The sequence below is a fragment of the Homo sapiens genome, chromosome 3 (assembly GCF_000001405.40).
Source record: "Homo sapiens chromosome 3, GRCh38.p14 Primary Assembly".
Taxonomy (NCBI): Eukaryota; Metazoa; Chordata; class Mammalia; order Primates; family Hominidae; genus Homo; species Homo sapiens.
Window position 1 is genome coordinate 63318665 of NC_000003.12, and position 27995 is coordinate 63346659.

The following is a 27995-nucleotide window of genomic DNA, read 5'->3' on the forward strand; positions in this document are numbered from 1 at the left end:
ATCATTTTTTTGGATTTCTTTGCATTGGGCTTTGCCTTTCTCTAGTCCTTCCCTGATTAGCTGAATAGCTAACCTCTTGAATTCTTTTTCAGGTAAACCAGGGATTTTTTCTTGGTTTGGATCCATTGCTGGTGAACTAGTGTGATTTTTGAGGGGTGTTGAAGAGGCTTGTTTTGTCATATTACCGGGGTTGGTTTTCTGGTTCCTTCTCATTTGGGTAGGCTCTGTCAGAGGGAAGATCTGGGGCTGAAGGCTGTTGTTCAGATTCTTTTGTCCTACAGGGTGTTCCCTTGACGTAGTACTCTCCCCCTTTCCTATGGATGTGGCTTCCTGTGAGCCAAACTGCAGTGATTGTTGTCTCTCTTCTGGGTCTAGCCACCCAGCGAGTCTACCTGGCTCTGGGCTGGTACTGGGAGGTGTCTGCACAGATTCCTGTGATGTGAACCATCTGTGGGTCTTTCAGCCACGGATACCAGTGCTTGTTCTAGTGGAGATGGCACTAGTTTTTGAAGAGACTGTCCTTTCTCCAATGTATGTTTTTGGTACCTTGTCAACAATGAGTTGTCTGTAAATTCATGAATTTACTTCTGGGTTCTGTATTCTGTTCCATTGGTCTATGTGTCTGTTTTTATGACAATATCAGACTATTTTGGTTATTATAGCTTTGTATTATAATTTGAAGTCAGGTAATGTGATGTCTCTAGCTTTGTTTTTTTGCTTAGGATTGCTTTGGCTATTCTGTGTCTTCAGTAAAGTTGCAGGACACAAAATCAACTTACAAAAGTCATTAGGATTTCTACATGCTAACAGCAAACAATCTGAAAAAGAAACCAAGAAAGTAATCCCATTCACAATAGCAACTAATATTAATAAGATAAACTACCTAGGAATAAACTTAACTCACAAAGTTAAAGATATCTACAATGAAAACTGTAAGACATTGATGAAAGAAATTGAAGAGGACACATAAGAAAATGGAAAAATAGTCCATGTTCATGCATTGAAAAAAAAATTGTTAAAATGCCCATACTGCCTAAAACAATCTACAGAGTCAATGCAATTCCTATCAAAATACCAATGACATTCCTCACAGAGACAGGAAAAATAATCCTAAAATTTAAAAAGAAATTGTCTAAAAGATTATTTTTACCAATTAGAAAGTACTATATCATGTTGTTGTATTGTTCTTTATTTAATCAGTCTCTAATTATGAAGAATGGAGGTTGCTTTTTCTTTTGCTGTCTTATAAATGAGGCTATAGTGAACATATTTAGATATGTATCTATTTTCTTATTCATTTATTGAGACAGGGTCTTGCCCTGTCACCCGGGCTGCAGTGAAATGGTATAATCATGGTTCACTGCGGCCTCAAACTCCTGAGCTCAAGCAGTTCTCCTGCCTCAGCCTCCAGAGTAGGTGGGACTATAGATGTGCAGCACCATACCTGGCTAATTTTTTCTGTTTTTAGTAAAGACAGGGTTTCACTCTATTGTCCAGGATGGTCTAGAACTCCTGGGCTCAAGTGATCCTCCTGCCTTGGCATCCCCAAGTGCTAGGATTATAGGTATGAGCCACCATGCCTGGCCTACATTTATTTTCACTATTTCCTGATTATAATTTCTTAAAATGAAGTTGATGCATCAATGGGAAGTCAGCATAACGAGGCTTAGTCCTTTAAAAAGGTAAAATAGAAAGAACAGAATCATTTTATGGCCACCATATCTTTTGAAAACATTCCTATTCCTTCTGGTAGATACTTGCAGAACAAGCTGAAGAAAGCTATATTCAGTTTTTTAGTGGAACATTGTAAAGCCACACCTTGTAAAAAATTAAAAAGCCTGATATTGAGATCCAAGTACTTCTTCTGCAGTGTGCAACTAGACCAGGAAGGCAGGGACCAGTTCTAGTTCCCCCACTTATGTCCACAGAAATTAGAAAATTACCTGACATATAGCAATAAGTTTGAAAATATTTAATGAATGATTGTGTGAATGAATAAACTTTTATTAACTCATTGGGGTAATAGAACTCTCAGACCCTAACAGTTCGTTTGTACATTTCAGAAACTGTGATTCCTAATTTGTTTAGTGACTTTATTCATGGAAACGGCACCACTTTGAGGGGCAGATACAAATTTTAATCTTAGTTTTGTGATTTACTATGTGGCCTTCATGTTCTGAGTTATCTGTGAAATGAAGTTACACTACTCAGTTTTTCAGAAACACTGCCATCTCAAATAAATTATCATCGAAAACTTGTTCTCTTTCCTCTGCCTTTGATTATGTCAATCTATTAATTTTTGAAAGCCAGAAGCCTTAACAGTGCTAGAAAATATGTATTCCAGAAAAATCAAGGACAACAAGGAGCATTCATTTGAATAAGCATGCTAGACATGGATGTCATTCTTAACCTAGGGCAGCCTAAGTATTTAGACTACAATTTTAGTTTATACCCCCAAGATATTTCTTTCAAATAAAGGGAGGACCTTACGTACTTTTAAACTTAGTTTTAGAAAATATCAATATTTTATTGTAGCATTTTCATTTTGCCAAAATATGACTTCAAGGGCCTTAGTCCATTTCTGACCTTTAACTACAATAGCACTTTTTATTTATCATCTTAGTATAAGAGTAAACATTTTTTATAGTAGAACATGTGGATACTGGAGAAAAGTCCAAAGAAGAAAGTATGTTTTATTCTCTCTCTATTCTTGCTCTGTTGAGAATTGTGAGGGTCAAATATTCCCATAAAAACTGATCTCTATTTCTGGAATAGAATAATGTGATTACTGTTATTATGCGGGTTATGAAAGTCAAGTTATATGTGGGCACAGAAGAAAGAGCAATTAATTTTAAGCCCCTGAATACAGAATACCATGTGTGTCAATATCCCCTGTAAATTGGCCAGTTCCTTAAAAATGGAGTCTGTACTTTATTCTCTCTATAGTCTGAATACCCAATTCATTGCTTAGTACATAGCAGGTGCTTATTATTCAATATCACATAGAGACACAGATAATGCTCTCTGTTCCTCCTTTAGGGAGTAAAGTCTGAAATTATAACCTCATGTCTTTGCACAGAAGTTCTCTGTGTGTTTACAAACACCTCTCCACATGAGTAGCCAATATAAACACAAATAAAATTCCCCTTGAACAAAATCAGTTCAGGGCCTCTTTGCACCGTACATTATAAAGCTCCCAATGGGCCTTCTGAGGTTTCCCTTGAAGAGGTCAACTAAAAAGCAGCCATGTCAGTCTTGCTGGCAGGAAATTAGCAGTTCTCAGCTCTTACAAGTTTGAAATTGTAACTGTTCCTCTTGGGTGTTTACCACTCTTCTGTCACCAAGGGAGTCCACTGTTGTTACCAGCCCAATTAGGTCTATTGCAACAGTAAGTGAGGAGAAACAGCCTCTTGAAATGTCCCTGCTTGGCCAGAATGTTAGGAAAAGCTTCCTGATGGAGGAATAGGATGACACCCAACACTGATGGAGGGTGTGCAGCAATGTTCTGCATTAGTGCCTACAGGAATATAGAGTTTTCATTTGCAACTTTTGTGATGAGCATACAGTTTGTAAAGCACAATGTAGATACTGGAGAAATAATGCATATAAACAGAGGAGGAAGACATACACATTTCAGTGCCACATGTGGACTAGGTACTGTGCTAGGCACTTTACTTTCTCAAACTTATTAATCTCCCATAGATGTTCATGGAGTGGTGTTATTTCCACTTTACAGATCAGGAAACAAAGGCACAAAGGTGAATGGCTCTCCTGAAGTCACATAGTTTAGTGTGAGTAAGTCAGGGCTTAAATCCAGGTTGGCCTGCTACCAAAAATGTATACGCTTGACCACTAGCCTATACTGCCTTCACAAATGTAAATTAATTAAAAGTATTTCTGATTATATGGAGGCTTTTATGTAAAGGTCTCAGGTCTTTAATGCTCACAATGATTCTGTGACTTAGGTGGTCCTGTCCCCATTCTACAAACAAAAAACTAAAGCACAAAGACACAAAGTCACTTGTTCACAATCATTCGACCTTCCAGTTTTGGAGCTTAGGTCTGTGTGGGGCCAAAGACATTCAGTCCTCTGCCTTTGAGAACCTCATCATTGAGGCAAATGTAAACATATACAAAGGAATTTGTAAGTTCTTATGTAAGACCCACTCACTCATTGAGAGTAAAATTTTATGGAAGAGACTACAAAATCAAGAATGCAGCAGCCTCTAAGGGCTCTCTGTGCTATAGGGCATTTCTCCTGCTTAGACATTTTCTTAAGGGACAGGGAGAGGCTTTTTATTGAGGGTTGCCCAGTGAGAGCTTCTTCCAGTAGGCACAGCCATGATAAGAGTAGAAGATAAGACTTTAAGCTCCCAAGAGGCCTCTTTTTCAAGATTCAGAAAAGGCACAAAGCAGGACTAGTTTAAGCACATCAGTAAAATTGAAAATAGCAGGGCTCAAGCTGCAGAGTGACTGTGGAGTTTGCTGGGGAAGAGCTTTTGATGTTTGTTTCTTGCCCAACTGAGCGCTTTTGAGTCAACAATCCTTTCTCATAAGGGCATAATACTCAAAACTGGCCCCAGAGGAAATAAGAAAGAGCCAAAGGTAATGCTATGGACTGATCCACTTTCCAATGGAAAGCCAACCTTCTTTCTTTCCACTTCACAGCTTTAATTCCTAAATTTCTGGGCCTTATGGCAAAAAGGGAGAGGGAAAACTGGATGAAATTTATTCAATTCTACAGGCATTTATTGAGTTTCTACTATGGAGTTAATATGAAGATTAAATCCTTGAACTTCATTACTTAGTTGATAAGATAAAACATACACAGGCCAGAAAATCTCAGGTGTGTTGGAAAGTACTTCTTTATACTCCCCAAATAATTTTTTTTTGGCATTGTTTTTTGCTGAGACATGATGGAAGACTTTTGGAGAAGGAAACACTTGAGCATTTGATCAGAGTTCAAAGACTGTAGGACCTGGAGAATTACAAATAAAAGAGTAAGGTTTATAGGGTGGTTCTAGAATAGACAAAGAAAAGAAAAACAAAAGCAAAAATGCAAATAAAATTTAAAATGTACATTCAAAGAGAGTATATTAAAATAAGGTGATAATAGGACAGGAAATTATATTTACTTTTCCTTAGCACTTTGTTCCAAGAATTGTTGTTTTTCACATGCATTCTCTCATTTAATACTCACAACATTCCCATGAGGCAGTTATTATTATTTCCATTTTACTGAGAAGGACAGTGAAGCCCAGCATGATGAATAACTTGCCCAACTTGCACAATAAGTAGCAGAGTCAGCATTTAAACTCAGTCTTATTACAAAGTCCTAATGTTTAGCCACCTATAGTATACTGCTTCAATAAGCATGGCAGCTGGAATATTGGCCAATAATGAAAAATGATGCTGAAAATTTAATTGCAATTATTGTAACTGTCACTTGTGTCTAATGAGTATTTTCAGTGCAAAGGTACTAGGCAAATTATTTTTATTTAACTCAATCCCTACAACAGTTGTGTAAGTATTATTAATCTCATTTTAAGATGAGTGAACTGAAAGAGTGGCCACCTTGATGAAAAGATATTAAGAAAGCAGAGAACCTGAGCTTTGAACTAGTATCAGTGACCTCAACCTGAACTCTTAACCATTACAATGTATGGCTTCTCAAGACTGGGATCAGACAATAAAGAGCCTTGAAGGCTAAGCCAGGAAATTTGCATTTATCCTGTAGCCAACGGGGAAACACTGAAAGTTTGTGAGCTGGGAGGTGACATGGCTTGATTTGGGCTTTTGGAGGATTAATCTGGAATCAGCATAAGATAGATTATAGAATGGAAAATCAGAACAGAGGGACCAATTATGGGACTACTGCACCAGTCCATGTAAGACGACTTATCCAGTGAGATGTGTGGTCCAGGTGAGTGGTCTTGAAAGCCCAATATAGACTACTAAGAGGAGAGAAAGGAAATATATAGTATTGGGTTTATAAATTACAAGAGTCCTCTTTGGTGCTTTGAAATCTGGATCTCCTACTAGAAAGGGAAGCTGCCTGCAGTGGAATCTGCTCACCAGGCAGCAAGTTGAGCTAGCTATTTAGTATGGAGAGGACCTGGAGCTGTGATTACCAGACACTGGGTTGCAGCTGCAGCCACCCAGAATTAGCCTGGCCAGATGGTGACGGGTAACTGACTGTTCTACACGGACCTCAGGAGAGAGCACAACAAATACCACAAGCAAGAGGCACATGTTTTCCTATGAACATATCAGAAAATTTTCTTTGAGAGTTTCTGATTCTCTCAAGGCATTTTTCCCTCATAATGCCTCAGTTACACTAACTCAGGTTGAGAATGGTGAAGAATGCTTTATGAAAATCAGAGTTGTTTTTTAATGAGGCCATCTGGTGAGCCTTCTGCATTTATATCCTCTTCTCCCAACAGGTTAGAAGCTGAAAAATTCTCTGCTAGTATAGTATTAGTAGAAATTATTTATAGTATGGCAGAACAGCCACTGTAATTACAACTTAATTCTTAGGTGACAAGAGACAGAACGTTAATTAGATCTTGCAGATAATAGTAATGACCATTCACATGTACCAAGCATTTGCTCACATGTAATAGGTATGAATTCTTAGCATCACTCACTTGGGGTACACAAGAAACATAATTTTCATTAGTTTCTTTAATAAAATAATTTGAACCTACAACCTACCTAGTGGTCAGAACATCATCTACACACTCTCAGGAAAGGTCCGATGCAGCATGTGTTAGTCACTCAGGTACAAAATGTAATCATATTCACCTTCTCCAATTTATTCCCCCTTTCTACCCAGGAAAGATCCTAAGCCCAGGATCTTACTGAGGTGCCAACCTGGTGACAGTAGGGAGTGGCTAGCTGGTTCTCCATCTGGACCTGGCAGGGCCCCTGCTGGCCTCCTACACTCAGTGTAAATTCATTTAGTCAGATTTCAACACACTCCAAATGGAGACTGAGCAAATTCCCAGTTTGGATTTGTCCCCATTTGACTCCTGGCTTAGGTAACCTTGGAAAGTAATGTCTGTCCTCCCATCATTCTCGGTGGAAACTGTCCATCCACACAGCTGACATCTGACACAGAGCTCCTTGTCCCCACAACTGGACCCTGTGCAAGCCCATGCATCTTTCCTTCTCAACTAGCTTTCACTTCCTGCTGAAGATAGGGAAGCTTTGGGTACCTCATCTCCACAACACTCTGGGGCTCTAGGAGACGTGGGCTATAAAAGTGGATTCATTCTGTCTCCACATCCCTGCATGTCCAAGATAGAACCAGAAGATGAGAAATTGTCATTTTTATTCATTGGTCCATTTCTGAAGAACCCCAGTCCCAGAGCAAATGGTGACCCCATGTTTCTCTGCTTGAATGAGGATGAGGTGGGAGAATAAAAGAAGAAATTGGTTGACAATTCAAGTTTGCCATACCCACACACATGATCTTATTTGATCTTCACAGCACCTCTTGGTAGCAGGAATGATGACTTTATTGATGAGAAAAATGAGGCTTAGAAAAGTTAAGGGACATGTTAAAGATCCCATTGAAGTCAATGGCAGTGTAGGAGTGTGGACATATCTGCCTGATTGTGGAGGATGAGCTCTTAACCAACACCCAACAGACAGCAGAGGCTGAAGCTGGCCACAGGACCTCACTTAGTATTCATTTCTCAGGTTATATATAAGGGATTGTGTGTGAATCAAAATACCTTACAATAAGTCTACTTTATTCTTCCATCACCAGCTGTTAGGGACAATAATGAAGCCATGTCTGCATTGGGAAGGTCTCCTTCGTAACAAATAGGATTATACTGAGATTGCAATGGGCATCACCATTCCTTATATATAAAAAGGAACTCCAGAGGGCCACTGGTTGGAATCATACTTTGTTCATTCCAGATCACTGAGTGTCCAGTCTTATCTAGAAGCCCAGAAGCCAGATGCTGGTCCTTGGTCTTCTATCTTCTCATAGTGATGGCCTGAAATCAGTGTCTTCTGCATTATTTATCAGTTTCTCTCTCTGTTAAATAGCAGCACCAAGAAAGGGAGTTGTGATTGCTGGTAACTTTGAAATCTTCAAAAGAAAGCCAAGTTCCTGGTAAGAATCAGACTTAGTAACTCATGGAAGTAATTGAAGGGTTGTGCTTGTACTCTTTCTAATTAAGTTTACATTGGGCAAATTTTAAGAAGTGTAATTTGGAAATGTTCTTAATTTCAATGGCCATCAGATTCATTTCCATGTTCCTAAATTTTACCAAAGCCAATAATAATACTTTCTCAATCCATTAAAAGACTACTTTCCTCATAGAAAAAAAAAAATGAACCACTGACACTTTACTTTTAGATTTCCTGTTTCATTTTGTTAGTGACTAGATATATATTAATTACTAACTATGTAAAAGTTGCAATCATTAGTGCAAATTGGGAGGGGAAATAGTTATTGGCAATGAAGGAAGTGTAAAGTAGAATGGAGATAAATATATACATTATAAAAGAAAATGTGATCCCACCAAAATAACCCAAATGAAAAGGACAATACCAAGTGACAGCAAGGATATAGAACAACTAGAACTTTTTTACACTGTTGGTAGGAGTGTAAATTGATATAACTTTGGATAACCTCAGCAGTACCTACTAAAGTGGGTATATGTATATGTTGAAATGAAATGTACATATATGTTATCATGTATATGTGGTACATGTAATACCTATTTATGTATTGTGTATGTGTGTTTATATCTAGCTATATGTATTATAAATGTATTATGTCCAAACAATTCCATTCTTAGGTATGTTTCCCAAAAGACACAAATAAGTGTGTTCATAACAGAATTTATAAAGCCACAAATGCTTATCAGTAGCATGATGAACAAATACATTTTGGTATATTTATGCATTTGACTTACAGTGATGAGAATGGACAAACTATGAGTTTACACAACATGAATGAATTTCACCCAAAAAAACTGAGCAAAAGAAACTAGATACAAAAGACAGTACAATATATAATTCAATTTGTGTTCAAAAATATTTTTAAAAAACACATTGTGGTATTAGAAGTTAGGACAGTAGCTAACTTTTGGTGGTTAGAGGTTAAGGAAGGGGCTTCTGGGGTTCCAATAATATATTATTTCTTGATCTAGGGATTGAGTAATAGGTGTGTTCACCCTCTGAAAATTCATTGAGCTGTTTTACACTTTTCTGCATGTATGTAATATATCAAGAAATTCACCTTAAAAAAGGCAATGTGTGAAAAGGATCAGGAGAGGCACAGATGGAAAAAGCAGGACAAAGTAAATATTGTTAGCAAATTAATTGGGCATAAATTGCAAAATATTATTTAAATGAGGAATGCCACATATGCTGAATTTAAAATACATTTTAGTGTCCCCATGATTAGGTTTTAACATGACTTTTAAGAAATTCTACAAATCTCACATCTACCACAAGACCAGTTATATAATTCAAGATGCTCAGTACTAAGCCATTAAAAAAAATTCAACACACTCTCAGAAAAACTGTGATATTCACAAAATGAGAGTGCCTTCTCAGGTTTCCCTTTATCCTCAGGTTGCAAAAGCTCAGAGCCTCATCTCCCTTTCTGGGAATGTCCAGAATCTTGTATTCAGGCTGCACATTTCCCCACAATTAGGTGACCTGTTTAGCATTGCTAGCCTGAGTCAGTCCATTTCATATCAAATGAGACTGGTCTATATTTAAAAGAAGGAATTCATAATGTACCAGTGTGATCTAGGAGTTTAATCACTGGGTTGAGTGCTCCAGGCCCCAGTTCCCCTAACATGCCTGTCTCCCTGGCTTTGACTCACAATCATGTGTTTTGTAAATGCACAAGGCAATGAACATAAAAGCAAAATTGCTGGTGACTAAGAATAGTAGCCAGCAGCCCTGGGAAGAATGCAGTGCTCTGGGGCTTAGCAGGAGAGCTGTGGATGCCTGGACACTGTGGACCTGAAAAATAAACATCCAATTGGAGAGTTGATGTGACCTCAGAGGAACCTGGGGGCCACAGCTCTGAATTCCCCAGAGCTGGTACTTGAATCTACTATGGCTAAATAAACTTGCCACATTTATTGGTGGCTTCTGTTTAAACACGAGTATTACAGTGGTGGCTTTATTTTCTTCTACCTTTTATTGATTATAATGTCCATGAGAGGTCAGGACCTGTTTTCTCAAATTGACCGCCACATCTCCAGCAGTTATTGAAAAAGCTGTACACTAGTCATCGCACAATATGTTTATTTGAATTATTTGAATACAATCTATAAGTCAAATCTAGCCTGAGAGTTATCTCAGCTATCACAGTTCTAAAAATAGGAGCAGTCTCCTAGTTCTTAGGTGGTATAAAAGTAATAACTATTATCAACGAGCCAAGAAAAACACACTTTCTCTCCACGTAAACAAATGAAAGAATTTGACTATTCAGCAAACTGCCTCTCAAGTGACAACATGGCATTGTTTAAATATTAAAAATAATATTTATGTTTAATACATTATTTTATTATGAGAGTTTATTATGTATCAGTCACAAAGCTGGTCACTTAACCTACATTATAGTTTAATTATCACAGCAATTTAATGGGGTAGCTACTCTTCTTAGCCCTATTTTACGGGTGGGAAAACTGAGACACAGAGAGGTAACTACCCCAAAGTGGCACAGCTGTTTAGTGGTTGAGCCAGGATTTGAACCCGGAATCTAAATCTAGTCCTTTAACCAACCTGCAATGCAAACCCTCACCCAAGACATCACAACACAGCAATTAAAATTGGAGAAAATGGAATGAGTTTGTTCCTAATCCAGTTAATTTCCCTGAATTAGAGAAAATCTCAAAATGTAATGTAATACATTTCTTGAGGAGAGGACTATGCTCTCTGATGACTAGTAATGTTGGCCATACGTCTTAAGACTATTTTTACACCTGCATCCTGAGGCAATTGAAAGAGTCCCCTTCAACTCACGAATGTGTCTCTGGGTAATAAATCATATGGCTACCCTATGAACACATTTGCCTTTTCCAGAAATGTCAAAACTTTCTCAAGTAAAGCTAGAATAGAGACTAATTCGAGGATGAGATCAATTTTTTCATCTAACCCAGGACTCAAGACTAGAAATTCGCTGTCCAGGTACCTCTGGGTTTTACCCACAAAGGGGTCCTTTGCTTGGCCTAGCAGCTGCCTCTCTTATCTGCCCCTTATTAAAGGAGGAAAGTAAATATCACAGCACAGTGTTCTGATATCAGGTTGTGTACAGGAGAGCATGTAACCCCTTGTTCCCAGGGTCTGGACATCCCTGCAGGTATTTTAGCATCAACTCGGGCTGGCTGGGCTGAGAGCAACTTGTTTTCTGGCTTATGTAGGCTCACCTGTGCCTGGTGTCAAGAAGCTCAGTGACTCTTTCTGGACTCAGAAGTGCCTCTCAGCCCTCAGGAGCCTTTTCTCCAGCAAATGTACCCTATGGAAAAGTAGTCCTTGATCCAATCAGTTATTTGTTGACTGGACTGGGTCAGTTTCCTCTAGGTTCTACTGGTGCATTCTTCTGGAATACATGACTTCAAGGACAGACCTCTACATGTGAGTTTTCTAATTGTAAGTGTCAAAAGCTTTACTCAAACTTGCTTAAGGAAAATAACACTACCACCAAGAGAACTTTAAAATGTATGTTCAAATTCCTACTCAATCTGTGGCTGGATCAAGTATTTTAAATGATGTAATTGGGGATCTACCTTTCTGTCTCCCCTCTTTTTTTTATTTATAGAAAGAGTCTCACCTCATGCAGCCACGGGTTCAAGTTTAAGTGATTCTTCCTGCTTGAGACCGCAGAAAGAGAGAGACTATTTCTCTCTCAGTGTGCATCTCAGTCCTTAAATAAAAGCTCTGACCAAAGTAGGGATAAAAAGAGGAGATGATAAACACTTATAAAATATTCTTATATACTGGTCACAATTTAATACTTTATAAGTTTTAATTCCTTTAATCTATGTATGAGCCCTATAAAAGAGGAATTATTATTATTGTTACTATTATTATTTCTGTTTTACAGATAAGAAAGTTGAGGTCCAGAGAGATTAAGTGACTTGTCCAAGGTTGTATAACTTGCAGTTGAAGAGCTAGCTATGGGAGTCTAGGAATGGAACAGATGCTCTTGATGATCCACCTCATTATAGAATCGTGTAATGAATAGCCCCATTAGATAAGGAAGAAAAGTTTCTACGATGAAACTGTCTGTTCAGACAAAAAAAATTAACAGTAAGAGAGACCTACTAATCTTATCCTCTAGACCTAGTTCACACTTGTACAGGTAACTGAACTCTGATTCTTCATCATCATTGTAAGGAAGGTATTGGCCTAGATGAGGGTCAGAAAATACACAGCACATATATCATTACCACCACTATGACCACACTGTGCCTAGGACAGACATCACTAATTGATCATTGCATTATGTGTCCCTTAAATCTAGATGAAGCCTCAGGATTCTTCCCAACACACTGATCCAGGCAACCTTAAAACTGAACAGAGTTTACAGGTGAAAATGAAACCTATTGCCGTTCTAGGATTAAAGGATCTCTCAACATACTTCTGGGACTATCATTTCAGAATTCTTCTAAGGCAGCCACAAATAAATGCCTTTTAGATAATAAAGCATAACCACAGGAGTTTATTAGATGCTCATGAGCAAGTGCAGTCTTTAGAATTCTTCAAGAATCCTCTTGTCTGTGTCCCAATTCATCCTGCTAAACCATTTGGTTTGTTCTGTTCCTTTTCCTCTAATAATAACAAAAGGAAGAGTAGTAATATACCATAACCCTCTCTTCTTAAATGCTCACGTATCTTTATACTAACGCTTTGAAGCTCATTCCACCAAGACCACTCTGAAAGGCCAGTAGTCTAGAAGGGGCTTGGGCTTAAATATAAGTCCATGCTAACACTTTTACTTGAGGAACTTAAAAAAATTATTTACAGGATGTGAACCTGCTATTAGCAGCCCAGTAGTAAGAACCTGCTGTTAGTACACTCTCCCACTTTCTTTATGAGGAAATTGAAACTGAGAGAGGTTCAGAAACTTTTCTAAAGTCACACAGAATTGGACCGTGGACCTCAGACTTCTCACAACAAATCAACAAATATCTACTGAGTTTTAATGTGCCAGGCTGTGTGCCAGGAGCTGAGGTTTGGAAGAGGCATAAGTTGATATGCCTCTTCTGGCATTTACTTTCTAGTAGGCTAGATGGGAAAAATTGAAAATGATGGGATTAAAAACAGTTGCTTTATGAATCCCAAAGTTGTCTTCGACTGGTAGGCAGTTCTTGAGGGGCAATGCTTCCATCTTTTCTGAGGCATGTTCCTTTCAAAACATGCTGAGCATATAGATCTGGAAAAAACATTTCAGAAGAAGACCTATAGTGTGGAGGATGCCTGAGTTTTATAATTGGACTTTATGAAGTCACATGCTCCTTTCTGCCTCAGAAACTTCAGGCTGTAGTTCCCTGGGCTTGGCTTTCTCTTCTTCACCCCTCTTTACTCCCTACCCTAGCTCACCCTGTGTGTTCAGATCCAACCTCCCTTGCACAGGAAAGTGTTCCCTGACTGTGCTCTGCCACCCTCCATCCTCAGGTTTGATCCCTTTACCCTTGCATGGCTTTGTACAGCTCACTTGTTTATACTTCGGAAGTAACTGATCAATTAATGACTGCGTCTCACATCAGAATGTAAGTTCCATGAGGGCCAAAATATATCTGCCCTATCTGCCCTTTCTCCTATTGCATCCTTAGACTTTAGGTCAGTACTTTGCACAGACTACTTACTCAGTATATTTATGGAAGAAAGGAAGGAGGGAAGAAAGGGAGAGAAGAGAGAAGGTATGGGTGGATGGGTTTTAACCTTAATAATAATGAAACATTTATTGAACACTTTTGATGTCTCAGGCTTCTTCGATCATTTGGTCTTAAGCACAACCCTGGAATATAGGTTCCATCATCCCTGTTTTATAAACAGTGAATTGAAGCCCAGAGTGGTTTAGTGACTTCCCCAAAGTCACCCAGCTATTTGGTGACGCATCAAGGATCTGAATTCAGTCTGTGTGACTGCAAGGTTCTTTTTAGTCTATATTATCCAAGAGCATGGTTAATCAATGTTGGCACAGTTGACATTTTGGGCTGCCTGGTCCCTTGGTTTGGAGGCTGCCCTGAGTTTGTGGGATGGCAGTGGCATCCCAGGCCTCTGCTCATAGATATCAGTAATACATCCCCCTGCCCCATCTCCGCCACCAGTTGGACAACCAAAAATGTCTCCAGATACTGTCTCCTAGGAGACAAAAATCATCACTGGCTGAGAACCACTGCCTTAGAATAATAAGTCATATCCTAAAAACAGCATATTAAAATGCAGACTTTCTCAAAAACAGGTTTTTTTTCTTAAATTTTGAGTTCATCTTAGCTTTCCTTTTCTGAATTCAAATTAAGAAAGCTTTTGAATCTGATGAACTCTTCATTGATTGCCCTCTATCTCCAGTTAGGCTTTTCAGAACCTTAATCAACAGTGAGTTCCTGCTGCTCACCACCTTCCACACCCCCTCCTGCTCCCTCTCTGGGGTCATCTCCCAGTGATCCTGTAACTTTGAATCTAAAAAAAAAAAAAGCAAAGAGAAGAGCCCCAATTTCAAGGGAAGGAAAGGATAAAACCGATGGCTCAGATTTGAACAGGGGGAATTTCTTTCTGTTTTGAAACAGACCCTTGTTCTGTAACCTAGGCTGGAGTGCAGTGAAGTGATCACAGTTCACCGCACCCTCAACCTCCTGAGCTCAAGTGATCCTCCCATCTCAACCTCTCAAGTAGCTGGGACTATAGGCACACACCACCACGCTCAGCTTATTTTTTATTTTTTTGTAGAGATGGGAGTCTTCCTATGTTGCCCAGGCTGGTCTCAAACTCCTGGCTTCAAGCCATCCTCTCACCTTGGCTTTCCAAAGTGCTTGGATTACAGGTACGAGCCACTATTCCTGGCCCAGGAATTTCTTATTTGCTACCAGGTTCTCCCTTTTTCATTCATAGCACCAGTCCAAAGAGTTTTAAAATTAAATCTGCAACCAAATTTTTTCCTTTCCATCTAATTTATTTTTTATCCATTTGTATTAAAATAGGAAACAGCCTCTATGTCTATTCTCATTCAATGCAAAGGAAAATATATTAAAAGCCGAAATGTCTTACTAAGAGAGTTTCTAAACAAACTGTATTAAGAATGAAAAGATGGTCTATAGTAATAGAGAAATTGGTGACACCTGGTGGTGGACCATTTAATACTTCTTAGAGTTAAAACAAGGTGATTAATATTTTTTAGAATAATCTGTGCTATTTCAGTCAAGTACCATAAAGTATTTTTGGCTCACAGCTGTTTTAATGAGCAGGGCAGGACTATATAATTGCAAATGGTTTAGCTATAGAATTCAGAATAGCTCTTACATGTTTTTTTTCTTCAGCATGTAAAAGCCTAGTGCAGGCAGGAACTAGGGAGTAGAGGCAAATCTATGTGCTTGTAAGACCTCTCAAGAATTGGCTTTGGCTCAATACTTAAAATCAGAAGGTCAACCTTGGTGGCTTTGGCAAGTGGCCCACCTGGAGAGAGTATGACTTGGGTGTGGTTGCTACAAAGAAGAGTCCTGTGAGACAAGAGGTGAAGGTTGCTTGCCTTGGGATTTAGTCAAGAGAGATCAGGTACACATAATAATAGCCATTGTCATTATTGTCTTTCATCAGCCCTTCTGTTGAAGTTCAGCCTAAAATTTCCAGGCAGTTGTCTCAATGAAGTGTGTGTGTGTGTGTGTGTGTGTGTGTGTGTGTGTGTGTGTGGACACACGTGGACAGGCAGATGATGGTGATTAGAGACCACTTCACTAGTCACAAGCACTTAGAATGCAAGCTGGCTGCCTGAAAAGGAAATGCTTCTCCTACATCTGGAAACTTATTGGGTATCTTTTGAATCTTGGGTACATTGGCGATTGATATTTTCCTACAGCCTCTCCTGACTCAGCTTACTGCTGATGAGCATTTTCTTTGATTTTTTTGTAGCTACTAAAATTATTAGGTTGATGCAAAGGTAATTGCCGTTTTTGCCATCACTTTCAATAGCGAAAACTGCAATAACCTTTGCACCAACCTAATAGTTCCACTAGCAGATACTTTTAAAACCTGATACTGGAAGAAGGCTTAATTACAGAATAGGAATGAGCCCCTCACATGCACCCTGCACTGTGTGGTCTCTGGGCTACAGCTCTGTTCTCTGGGGTACAGAGTCCAGGGAGAGACAACTGTTAATAGGTTGATGCAAAAGTAATTGCGGTTTTTGCCATTAAAAGAAATGGCAGGCCTGGCGCCGTGGCTCACGCCTGTAATCCCAGCACTTTGGGAGGCCGAGGCGGGTGGATCACAAGGTCGGGAGATCGAGACCATCCTGGCTAACACGGTGAAACCTCGTCTCTACTGAAAAACAAAAAATTAGCCAGGCGTGGTGGCGGGTGCCTGTAGTCCCAGCTACTCGGGAGGCTGAGGCAGGAGAATGGAGTGAACCCGGGAGGCGGAGCTTGCAGTGAGCCGAGACTGCGCCACTGCACTCCAGCCTGGGCAACAGAGCGAGACTCCGTCTCAAAAAAAAAAAAAAAAAAAAAATGGCAAAAACTGCAAGTACTTTTGGGCCAATAATATAAGTGTTGGGTTTGGTGCACTGGCACGTGAAGAAAATCAGGGCCAATTGAAGCCACTGTACCTGAAAGTCCAGGAGATTTCCATTTTCCTTGAATTTGGTTTAACCAAATTAACGCACATTAAAGCCATGACCTAGGAATGAATGGTCATGCCTTTGAGAAACTGTTAACCTGAGAGCTTCCTCTGATCTTGGTAGCCTTAACCAAGGTATTCGCTTGGCATACAATACTCCCTTGTTCCTCTTGACCTTGTACTTCTGTCTGGCCACTGTCCTTTACACACTCTCCCTTTTGCTTGCCTATCTCCTAGTCTTTAAAGGCCACTTTTCTAACACACTCAAGTCCATATTAGCTTCCTTTTTTTTTTTTTTTTTTTTTTTTGAGACAGAGTTTTGCTCTTGTTGCCCAGGCTGGAGTGGTGCAATGGTGCAATCTCAGCTCACCGCAACCTCTGCCTTCCAGGTTCAAGCGATTCTTCTGCCTCAGCCTCCCCAGTAGCTGGGGTTACAGGCATGTGCCACCACACCCAGCTAATTTTGTATTTGTAATAGAGACGGGGTTACTCCATGTTGGTCAGGCTGGCCTTGAACTCCTAACCTCAGGTGATCCGCCTGCCTCGGCCTCCCATTAGCTTCCTTTTTTATGTCTCATTTAGCAGAAAATAGAAATGTTAAAAACAACCTAAATGTCTGACCATTCGAATGTGATTAAATATATCATGGAATAATATGCAGTGACAAAAAATATTTACTTGGAAAATTTTACATTATTTAATTAGGTAAAATAATTATAAAAGAGTATGTATAATATTTTCTAGAGGATACAACTATGAATTTCTGCTTGAAGATGAAACTAAAAACTATCAGGATAGTACAGGGAAGAGATTATGCAATGCATAAAAGGATCTCAAATATACAACACACATACACACGAATAAAAGGCTAATTAAATATTCATCAAAATGTTAACAATGATGAACTTTGTAGTTACAAACGTGCACTATTTTACAATCTAAAAAGTTTATGTTTAAAATTTAGTCTCAATGCAATCCAATGGAGAAAAGATAATCTTTTGAATAAATAGTACTAGAACAAGTGGACATTCCCATGCAAAAAAAAAAAAAAAAAAAAAAAAAAAAAAAAAAAAAAAAAAAGACTCTATACAATAGCTTACCCTTTTCACAAAATTTAACTCAAAATAGATGGAGACCTGAATGTAAAATGCAAAATTAAAAAACTTCTCAAAGACAACATAGAAAAAAATCTAAGTGATCTTGGATTTGGTAATGATTATTAGATACATCACCAAAAGCACAATCTATGAAAGGAAAAAATTAAGTTAGATTTCATTAAAATTAAAAACTTCTGCTCTGTGAAAGACACTGTTAAGGGAATGAAAGACAAGCCACAGATTGCAAGAAAATATTTGTAAAACATATATGTGATAAAGCACTTGTATCCAGGATATATAAAAAATTATTAATACTCAACAATTAAAAACTGTATAGACACCTAGAGCCAAAGAAGATATGTCCATGAAAGGTCAGGCATGGTGGCTCACACCTGTAATCCCAGCACTTTGGAAGGTCCAGGTGGGCAGATCACTTGAGGTCAGGAGTTCGAGACCAGCCTGGCCAACATGGTGAAATCTTGTCTCCACTAAAAATCCAAAAATTCTCTGGGTGTGGTGGCACATACTTGTAATCCCAGCTACTTGGGAGGCTGAGGCAGGAGAATTGATTGACCCAAGGAGGCAGAGGTTGCAGTGAGCAAAGATTGTGCCACTGTACTCCAGCCTGGGTGACAGAGTGAGACTCTGTCTCCAAAAAAAAAAAAAAAAAAAAAAAAGATGCTCAACATAAAATGTCATTATAGAACTGCAAATTAAAACAACAATAAGAACTACATACCTATTTACCTATTAGAATGGTTAAAATGCAAAACACTAACAATGCCAAATGCTGGTGAGGATGTGGAGTAACAGGGACTCTTCATTCACTGATCGTGGGAATGCAAAATGGTACAGTCACTCTAGAAGATAGTTTCACAGTTTCATACAAAGTGCAACCTTGTCTACCATATAATAGAGCAATACTTCTAGATATTTACCCAAATGCATTAAAAACTACGTCCACACAAATAAACTGTCCACTAATGTTTACAGCAGCTTTATTCATAATATCCCCAAACCGGAAGCAACCAAGATGTCCTTGAATAGTTGAATGGATAAACAAACTGTGGTACGTCCGTACAATGGAATATGTTATAGCAATAAAAAACAAATATCAATTAAGCCACAGAAGACATGGAGTAATCTTAAGTGCATGTTACTGAGTGAAAGAAGCCAACCTGAAAAGCCTGCATTCTGTATGATTCCAAATAAATGACATTCTGGAAAAGGCAAAACTATAGAAACCAAAAAAAGATCAGTGGTTGCCAGAGGTTAATGGAAAGGAAGGGAAGGATGAATAGGTGGAGCACAGGGGAGTTTTAGGATGGTTAAACTATGCTGTATGATACTGTAATGGTGGATGCATGACATTATACATTTGACAAATGAACCATGCAGCACAAACAGGGAACTCTAATGCAAACCAAGAACTTCAGTCAATAATAATGTACCAATATGGGTTTATCACTTGTAGCAAATATACCAAACCAATGGAAGATGTTAATAATAGGAGAAACCGTGTGTTTGGGATGGGAGTGGGGTAGTATATGGGAACTCTCTGTACTTTCTGTTAAAATTTTCTGTAAGTCTAAAACTGCTCTAATAAATAAAGTTTATTTGTTTAAAGGAATCTAGCCTCCAATAAATTCTTGGCAGAATTTCTTCTGAACTTTGACCACAATGGCTAAGTAGTTCTGCTTCTCGTCTAGTCACTACCCCATGAGAAGGTTCATGAGAAGATGAATTAAAAGTAGTGGGAAGTCTAGGTGTCTAGTTTCCTTAAAATAGCAATGGAAGTCCTGGGGAGGAGTGTCTAGCTTTCTCGATCATCTTGTCTTCCCCTTTGGACATCTTCAAATAAACAATCAACTTGGTAGCAATAGAGTTAAGTCTCAAAGTGAGAAATCTGACTGCCTTTGGATTCAAATCCCTTCTGAGTATTTTTCAGAAGCTTCAGATCCAAGTGGATCCTTGCCAACAGCTTGAAATATAAGAGCCAATAGAGAACTGTGGACCAGATTCTAATAGAATGATTATATACTATATTGTATTAGGTCATGTTATTCATTTCATTGTACAACCAAGAAAAGCTGCAGCTCAAGAGATGAAAAGCCTGTCCAAGGACACATAGCTAGTGACCCACGATCTGAACACATACTCTAGAGACAAATACCATGCTGTCCCCAATGAGCACTGTCACTATGCTGTTCACAGGTTTCTCCGAAGCAGGGACATGTTCAGAATCCAGCAATCCCAACACATGCCTACTCATTTTCTGGTTTACCTTGTCTCCTTCAACTCTTACTCAATGTTGTAGCTCCTTCATGGGCCAAAGTAAAGGACCATGTCAGCGAATATTGGACTGTCCTCTTCTTTTCCCTAAAAGAGACACTACTGATGCTTTTAGGTAAGGCAGACATTTCCTCCTCAGGAATCTTTGCCTGCTGCGTTTGCTTGTGAATTCCTTGGAGATGGTGAATTTTCTTAGATTCACCTCTATTACCTGATACACTGGTGCTTTGATATTGCTTGGTAAAGCGCTGTTTAATAAATGAATGAATGAAATAACATCTCTAATCATATCAGTTATTTTGACATGTTGACATGTCATAGTTGTCTTTATTAAACACATTTTTAGTGAGCACCTACTATGTCCCAGGCACAAGTAGTAAACAAAGAGAGGCAACATCTCTGCTCACATGGTACTTGCATTCTGCTGGAAAGAGACAGACAGGAAGCAAATTAACAAATTTTGTGGTGTGTTTTCATTTTTAATTGAATTTTTATTAAGATAATTACAGATTCATAAGCAGTTGTAAGAAATAATACATTAAGATCCCATGTGCCTTTTAACTCAGTTTTTCCTGATGTTAATGTCTTGGGAAATTATAGTATAACATTACAACCAAGATAATGACCTTGACACAATCCACCTATCTTTTTCAGATTTCTCCAATTTTACTTGTATTAATTTGTGCACATGTGTGTGTGTATTTAGTTCTGTACTCTAATGAATGTATAGGTTCATGTATTCACCACTATAATCAAGATAAAGAATAGCTCCATAAAAATTCCTTGTGTTCTTTTTTTTTTTTTGAGATGGAGTTTCGCTCTGTCACCCAGGCTTGAGTGCTGTGGCGAGATCTCAGCTCGCGTCAACCTCCACTTCACGGGCTCAGAGGATTCTCCTGCCTCAGCCATCTGAGTGGCTGGGATTACAGGCATGCCCACCATGTCCAGCTAATTTTTGTATTTTTAGTAGAGACAGGGTTTCACTATGTTGGCCAGGCTGGTCTCGAACTCCTGACCTCAGGTGATCTGCCCGCCTCGGCCTCCCAAAGTGCTGGAATTAGAGGCGTGAGCCACCATGCCAAGCCTACCTTTTTATAACCACACTCATCTCCCTTCCTTAACTTGTCCTTAACTCCTGTAAACCAGTAATCACTCCTCCTTTTCTATGATTTTGCCATTGCAAGAATCTTATATAAATATAATTATACATAATGTAACCCTTGGGGACTGGAGGTTTTCACTCAGCATAATTTCCTTCAGATCTATCCAAGTTATTTTTTTAATATTGCTGAGTAATAGTCCATGGCATGAATGGTGTATAGTTTGTTAACCATTCACTCATTGAAGAATATCTATGCTGTTTTCATTTTATGGCTAGTATGAATGAAGCTGCTATCAATGCACATATACAGGTTTTGTGTGGCCATAAGATTTTTTTTCTCAATATTTTGCTATAAAATGTTTTAAACATAAAGCAAGGTTGAAAAATTTTCAGTGAACAGTCACACATTCACCACCTAGATTCTACCATTAATTAAAAAAAATGTATTTTTTTTTTTTTTTTTTGAGACGGAGTCTCACTCTGTTGCCCAGGCTGGAGTGCAGTGGCGGGATCTCGGCTCACTGCAAGCTCCGCCTCCCGGGTTCACGCCATTCTCCTGCCTCAGCCTCCCAAGTAGCTGGGACTACAGGCGCCCGCCACTACGCCCGGCTAATTTTTTGTATTTTTAGTAGAGACGGGGTTTCACCGTTTTAGCCGGGATGGTCTCGATCTCCTGACCTCGTGATCTGCCCGCCTCGGCCTCCCAAAGTGCTGGGATTACAGGCGTGAGCCACCGCGCCCGGCCAATGTACTTTATTTTTTAAAGCAATTTTAGGTTTACAGAAAAGTTAATAGTACAGTGAATTCTCATATCCCCCCTTCCTTCTGTACATAATTTCCCTATTATTAACATCTTGCATTAGTGTGCTACATTTAGTGTAATTGATAAGCAATATCAATACATTATTATTGGCTGAAGTTCACAGTTTATATTAGGGTTTACTCTTTGTGTTGTACAGTTCTGTGGGTTTTGTCAAATGCATGAGGTCGTGTATGCACATTTACAGTGTCATACAGAATAGTTTAATCCCCCTAAAAATCCTCTATGCTCTATCTAGTCATCTCTCTCTTCCTTCTTCCCCACTAACTCCTGGCAACCACTGACTTTTTATGGTCTCTATAGTTTTGCCTTTTCCAGAATGTCATATATTTGAAATCATACAGTTTGCAGCCTTTACAGATTGGCTTCTTTCATTTGGCAATATGCGCTTAAGGTTACTCCATGTCTTCTGTGACTTGATAGCTCATTTATTTTTTATTACTATAAAATATTCCATTGTATGGATGTACCACAGTTTGTTTATCCACTCAACTATTGAAGGACATCTTGTTTGCTTCCAGTTTGGTGGACAGTTTTCTGTGTGGACATAGTTTTCAACTCATTTAGGTAAACACATAGGGGTACAATTGCTCGATCCTATAGTGGACTAAGCTTGGCTTTGAAAGAAACTACCAGACTGTGTTTCAGAGTGACTGTACCATTTTGTGTCTCCACCATCAGTGAATGACAGTTCCTATTACTCCACATTCTCATCAGCATTTGATATTGTCAATGTTTTGGATTTTAACCACTCTAATAGCTATGTAGTGGTATCTCATTGCTCCTTTAGTTTGTAATTTTCTAATGACATTTCATGTTGAGCATCTTTTCATATGCTTATTTGCCATCTGTATAATTTCTTTAGTGAAATGAATGTTCATATCTTTTGCTTAATTTTACTTATTTTTATTATGGAGTTCTAAGAGTTCTTTATGTATCTTGGATACAAGTCATTTAACAGGTATGTGTTTTGCAAATATTTTCTCCCACTTCATGGCTTGTATTTCATTCTCTTAACAGTATCTCTCACAAAGCAGATGTTTTTTAATGTTAATGTTTTTAATGTTAATGGAGTCCAAATTACCTATTTTGTTTTGTCATGGATTGTGTTTTTGGTGTTGCATCTAGAAAGCCATCACCCAATCCAAGGTTACTTAGATTTTCTCCTGTATTATCTTCTAGAGGCATTACAATTTTGCATTTTACGTTTAGATGTATGATCCATTTTAATTTTTGTGGAAGTTAGGAAGTTTGTGTCTAGATTCATTTTTTAAAATATTGCATATAAATGTTCAGTTGTTTTAGCACCATTTGTTGAAAACACTGTCTTCCTCCATTGAATTGTCTTTGCTCCCTCTTCAAAGATCAAGGCTAAACTGATGTGAGTCTATTTCTTGGCTCTCTATATTCTGTTCCATTTATCTGTTTGCCTAGTCTTTCTCCATGCTACACTGCCTTGATTCTTGTAGATATTGTTTGTCATGTTGAAGAAGTTCCTCTTTAATTCTTGTTTGTTTAGCGTTTTAAACTGTAATCATTACTGGATTTTGTCTAATATTTTCTCTGGACCAATTGATATGCTCATATGATTTTCTTTCTGTAGTCCGTTGATGTGATGGGTTACATTGATCGTATTTTGAATGCTGAATCCCATTTGCATACTAGAATAAATCCTACTTGGTCATGTTGTGTAGTTATTTTCTTACATCATTGGATTCAGTTTGCTAATATTTTGTTGATGATTTTATGTCTTAGTTCATGAGAGATATTGGTCTTTAATTTTTGTTCTTGTAATGGATTTATCTGTTTTTGTATCAGGGTAACGCTGGCCTCATAAAATGAGTTGGAAAGTGTTCCCTCCTCTGCTATTTTCTGGAAGAGATTATGTAAAATTGATGGTAATTATTTTTTAAATGTTTGGTAGAATTTCTGATGAAACCATCTGGGATTGGAGATTTCTTTATTAAGAGCTCTTTAATTATAAATTCAATTTCTTTAATGGTTACAAGACTATCAAGATTGTCTATTTCATGTTGATTGATTTTGGGTAGTTTGTTGTTTTAAATGAATTGATCCACTTCTTCTAAGTTGTAGAATTTATGGGTTGAAAGTTATTTCTAGTATTCCTTATTCTTTTGTATGTGTTTTTAAATAATGATAAATTATGTTGATAAAATAAAAATGGGGATGATCAGAAAAGGCCTGCCGGAGGAGGTGATATGTGAGCTAAGGCCTGAAGGGATCAATCATGGAAAACATTAGAGAAAGAGCTTTTCGGGCAGAGGGAGAAGTTAGTACAAAGGCCCAGAGAAGGCGACAAGTTTGGCATATTTGAGGATGAAGGAAAACTAGCCGGAGTGGAAAGAGCAACAAGGAATTGAATCTGGAGAGGAGGACAGAGACCACGGGATGCAGTAGCTTTGGGTCATGGGAAGGCACTTAGGTACTGTAGGTGTGCTGCAACAGCTTTTCATGGTTTTAAGCAGGAAAAATCATGCACAGATTTATATTTATAAAAGATCACTGTGGCTGCTGTATGGACAATGGATTCTAGGAGAGCCGAGGAACATATTATGAAGATAACATTATGAAGTCATGTTATGAAGTTTTTGCAGTGTTCTCTGTAAGAGGGTGGTGGTGTGCATCCCAGGGGCATGGCACTGGTGGAGAGAAGGAGGCAGAGTGAGGACATTGTTTGGAGGTCCTGCCTCTATCCATGTTTGCCCTGCTGGACTGAACTCCTGGTAAGGACTGGGTACAACCCTCCTTTTTTTGTTGAGCTTCCAACGCAGCTACCTCTTTTTCAGACCATCTAAGTCCATGAAGTTTAGACAACATTCAGACTATCAAAAACCATCTCTGCTCTATTGTGGCTTTTCTTCGACAGTATAAATTACCCTAGAAGTTGTTTTCTGCAGGCTCATGATTCCCTGCCTAACTTTAAAGGGTTTCTTGAGAAGGCTTTGACCATTTGTTTTGTCAGAGGTTTGGGCGATTATTCAAAGTGCTGAGAGATAACAAGGGTACAGTTTAATGTGCTACAGATGTCTGGGACGGTGACTCAGGCTCCTGGCAGAAATCCAAGGCAGGAAACCTGCTGTTGCAATTCGTATTCTCTGTGTCTATGCCGGAAACGGCTTGAGCTGTAATTGCAGTTTATAGTGATGTAAATGCAGCCAAACCCCCGAGTGAAGCCTCACAGATGTACATCATTAGGAGAGCTCTCAGCCTCGCTCATATGCTGTTCAGAGGCGGTTCATTTGCAATCAGTTTCAAAGACTGTGGATGGGAAGAATGTTCTTTCACATTGTCTAGCTCAGTTTAAAATCTGCCCTCCTGACATTTTGATAAAAGGTAATAACCAAACCTCTGTGTTCAGCAGAATGTGCTTATAATAATAAGCCTGGCATTAAAAAAAGAAGACCCAAAGTATCAATAGCCCTTTACAAACAGAATACACAGTTTTCCATTTGACCCAGTTGTCTGCTGCACTTCTTCTCTCCTACCTATCTTATGATTAGGAAGGAGGCAGCCCTAGAGCTCACAAGTCAGAAAGCTCTGGATACAAATTTCAGAAGTGCTGCTTTTTTTTCTTAATTTTAATATAAAGGTCCAGGAACAAAGAGGTTTTCTATTTATAAAGTTTTAGAAATATAGGAGAAATTGTAAAATGTCTACTTAAAATATTTAATTAAATTCAATTCCTTATTTAATGTATTAAAATCCCTGTGAGAAACAGGTGCATATTCAAAAAAGATTTTTTTTTTTTTTTTTTTTTACAGATTAATAAGAGTAGTTAGTGTGTAAGGGAACCAACAAGAGGTAGTGCAATAACCTGGGATTTGTGTAACTGCCTGGTGGGTTGTTTTTGCCCACTGCACAGATAGAGTCGATTCATTGAGACAGCAGTATTACTGTGAAGAGAGTTTAATAAATGCAGAGCCGGCCAAGTGGAAAGAAGGGAGTTTACTGCACAAATCAGCCTCCCCACAGAGCTCCGAGGCTAGGGCTTTTCAAGGATGGGCAGGGGGCTGGTGAATGGGGGGAATGGTGATTGGTTGGGTTCAGCATGAAATTGTAGGGGATCAAAGCTATCTTCTTGAGCTGACTCCCTGCCTGGGTAGGGGCCACCAGACCAGATAAGCCAGTTTCTTGGTATGTGTAATGGGTCTGGGTGGAGTCAGTTGGGTTTCCAGAATGAAAAAGTCTGAAAAGTATCTCAAATACTAGTCTTAGGTCTTAGAATACTGATGTTATCTAAAGGGACAATTAGGCAAATTACAAATCTTGTGACCACCCCATGCGACTCTTGAGCAGTAAACAATGACTTGTTATCATTTAACTATGCCTAGGTTTTAGCAGAATTCATGCTCTCACATAATTTTAATCTCGTGACCTTTCATTAGTTTTACAAAGGTGGTTTTAGTCTCAGAACAAGGCGAGGGTAGTTTTGGGAAGGGGCTAGTATCATCCTTGCTTTGAGATTAAATCATAAATAGCATTCCTTCCATAGTTAACTTGGCCTATGGCCAGGAATGAGCAAAGGTAGCTTGTGAGGTTAGAAGCAATATGGAGTCAGCTCTGTTAGATTTCTCTGACCGTCATAATTTTGCATAGTCAGTTTCATTAGCAGCAGCAGGGCTGTCTCCATCCCTGGGCCTGTCGGGCTGCAGAAGAGAAGAAGCCCTCACAGGAACTTGCAAGGAAGGAAGAAAATTGTCATGACAAGAGGGGTGACCTCCAGTGAGGGGCAGAGCCTGGCTGAGGTGACCTTGCAGGGAAAGAAGCTGGGACCTCACTTTCTCCCTCTCGCCTAGCCTCTCTTCTCCTGCTGGTCTCGCATTGGCTGACTCCAACCCCAACCAGAGCCAAGCCAAAGCCAGGCAGCTTCCTGAGGAGAGGGGAAGGGAGGGAGAGAAAGGTGAGAAGTGGATCTTTAGGGACAAATTTATATATATTTAAAGATGCATACCCTAAAATAACAATTTTGAAATGTTGCTTTCGTCTAACATTGAATTTTCTGGAACTTTTTTTTTTTTGAGATGGACTCTTGTTCTGTTGCCCAGACTGGAGTGCAGTGGCGCAATCTCAGCTCACTGCAACCTCCATCTCCCAAGTTCAAGCGATTCCCCTGCCTCAGCTTCTCAAGTAGCTGGGATTACAGGCATGCGCCACCATGTCTGGCTAATTTTTGTATTTTTAGTGGAGTTGGGGTTTCACCATGTTGGCCTGGCTGATCTCAAACTCCTGACCTCAAATGATCCTTCTGTCTCAGCCTCCCAAAATGCTAGGATTACAGGTGTGAGCCACCGTGCCCAACCATGGAACTATTTTATTCAAACTCTTCATACATCAATTTTGTTTTTATCATTAGAGCCATTTTGGAGTCATCTAACACAGTTTTAAAAGCTCTTCACTTTTTACATGCAGAACTTTTCAGTCTTCCTGTGATCCTGTTACTGGAATTTTTACCCAAGTCACAAATACACAATCATATACTATTATGACAATTTTTTTCATTTTTTTGGTAGATTTATGTTTATATAAACCACTGTTGAAGTATGCGCTGTTTTACTTTCTAAAAATAATTTTTAAAGATTATTTATAACTGTATTTGTTCCTTGCAACTGAGAAGTTGTACTAATGAAAAGTATGATGAAATGCATACTCCATTTATTTTTTCATTTTTTTGTTTTGAGATGGAGTCTTGCTCTGTTACTGAGGCTGGAGTGCAGTGGCGTGGTCTCGGCTCACTGAAACCTCCGCCTCCTGGGTTCAAGCGATTCTTCTGCCGCAGCCTCCTGAGTAGCTGGGATTACAGGTGTCCACCACCATGCCCAGCTAATTTTTTGTATTTTTAGTAGAG

At 38.9% G+C, this 27995-nt stretch overlaps 1 protein-coding gene across 3 annotated transcripts in view, besides 2 other annotated features; it reads left to right on the forward strand.

Annotated features, from left to right (window-relative positions):
- The window catches only part of SYNPR (synaptoporin), a 416321-nt gene that overhangs the window by 118061 nt on the left and 270265 nt on the right, over positions 1–27995 (forward strand). The window lies entirely within an intron of this gene.
- Positions 24937–25579: an enhancer, noted in NCBI's record as "OCT4-NANOG-H3K27ac hESC enhancer chr3:63329277-63329919 (GRCh37/hg19 assembly coordinates)". NCBI's record gives its function as "activates a minimal SCP1, AML or CMV promoter by ChIP-STARR-seq in primed H9 embryonic stem cells {active_cell/tissue: H9 hESC(primed)}" and the evidence as "EXISTENCE:reporter gene assay evidence [ECO:0000049][PMID:30033119]".
- Positions 25129–25423: a silencer, noted in NCBI's record as "tiled region #419; HepG2 Repressive non-DNase unmatched - State 9:DNaseU". NCBI's record gives its function as "represses a minimal TATA promoter and a strong SV40 promoter by Sharpr-MPRA in HepG2 cells {active_cell/tissue: HepG2}" and the evidence as "EXISTENCE:reporter gene assay evidence [ECO:0000049][PMID:27701403]".